Here is a 1,698-nt window from a genome sequence, read left to right on the forward strand (position 1 = left end):
GATGATGGTTGCATAACCATGCCAACGTACTTAATACCACTGAATTGTACACTTAAAAATGTTGAAAATGGCAAATTTTGGGCTGGTCATGGTAGCTCATGCCTGTAATTTCAGCATTTTGGGAGGCTGAGGCAGGAGGATTACTTGAGCCCAGGATTTCAGTGCCAGTCTGGGCAATATAGTGAGACCCTGTCTCTACAAAAAAAATTAAAGAACTAGCCAGGTGTGGTGGCATGCACCTGTGGTCCCAACTACACAGGAGGCTGAGGCAGGAAGATGGCTTGTGCCCAAGAGGTCAAGGCTGCAGTGAGCCATGTTCACACCACTATACTCCAGCCTGGTGGACACAGTGAGATCCTATCTCAAATAAAATAAAATAGTAAAATTTTATGTCATATATGTTTTACCATAATTTTTAAAAAGAGAAAAAAAATCATTGGAATGAAGCAAATTAAGATACATCCACTTGTGGAATTCTATGTAGCTGTTAGAGGGAATGGGGTAGATTTTATTCTACTGACATGGAAAGATGCCCAAGATATACAGCTAAATGAAAAAAGCAAGCTGCAATCGTATGTGTAGTATAACGCCAGTTTTGTTTTTTTTTCTGCTTGAATTTCTTTACATTCATTAACTGATCTAATCTTCACAACACACCTATGATGTATATATTGTTACCATGACTCCATTTTGCAGATGAGGAAACTAAGGCACAGAGAGGTTAAGAACCTTGCCCCAGGTCACAGATCTAATATGCAGTAAAGCTAGTTTTTTTTTTTGTTTTTTTTTTTTGTTTTTTTTGAGATGAAGTCTCACTCTGTTGCCTAGGCTGCAGTGCAGTGAGACGATCTCGGCTCACTGCAATCTCTGCCTCCTGGGTCCCAGTGATTCTCCTGCCTCTGCCTCCCGAGTAGCTGAGATTACAGGCCCCTGCCACCACACCCAGCTAATGTTTTTGTATTTTTAGTAGGGATGGGGTTTCACCATATTGGCCAGGCTGGTCTCGAACTCCTGACCTCGTGATCCACCCGCCTCAGCCTCCCTAAGTGCTGGGATTACAGGCGTGGGCCACCGTGCCTGACCGAGCTACAATTTTGACGCAAATCCAACTATCTGGCCCCCAAAATCTGAGTTCCAAAACCTTCAGCATCAGCTTCCCTGGGAGCATTTTAGAGATGTGGATTCTCTGGCTGTGCCCCAGACCTACTGAATAAGAATCTGCAGGGTAACTATCCCCAGATGATTCTTGTGCACATTAAAGTCTGGGAAGACTGAAGCCTAAAGCACCATGCAACACAACGCCAGTTTTATAGTAAGTTTAATATATGCATAAAATAATTTACTTGGAATTCTGTGGCCTTTTAAGTTTTTTAACTGAGCAATGTATTCTAGAAACTAGACCAAAAAATCTGTGTTAAATTGGCCATGAACCAGGTTCACATCCTGTGTCATCACTGGCTTAGGAGTTACTCTGTCAGAGTTTAGAAATGTGTTTCTCTTGGAGCTCCTGCCTAAAGCTTTCCTAATGTAGTCCTTTACAATATAATAAAACCTTATTAAGTTGAACTCAATTCTTTTTTTGTTTTTTTGTTGTTTTTTGTTTCTGAGACGGAGTCTCACTCTGTCGCCCAGGCTGGAGTGCAGTGGCGTGATCTCGGTTCACTGCAAGCTCCGCCTTCCGGGTTCACGTCATTCTCC

The sequence above is a fragment of the Homo sapiens genome, chromosome 6 (assembly GCF_000001405.40).
Source record: "Homo sapiens chromosome 6, GRCh38.p14 Primary Assembly".
Taxonomy (NCBI): Eukaryota; Metazoa; Chordata; class Mammalia; order Primates; family Hominidae; genus Homo; species Homo sapiens.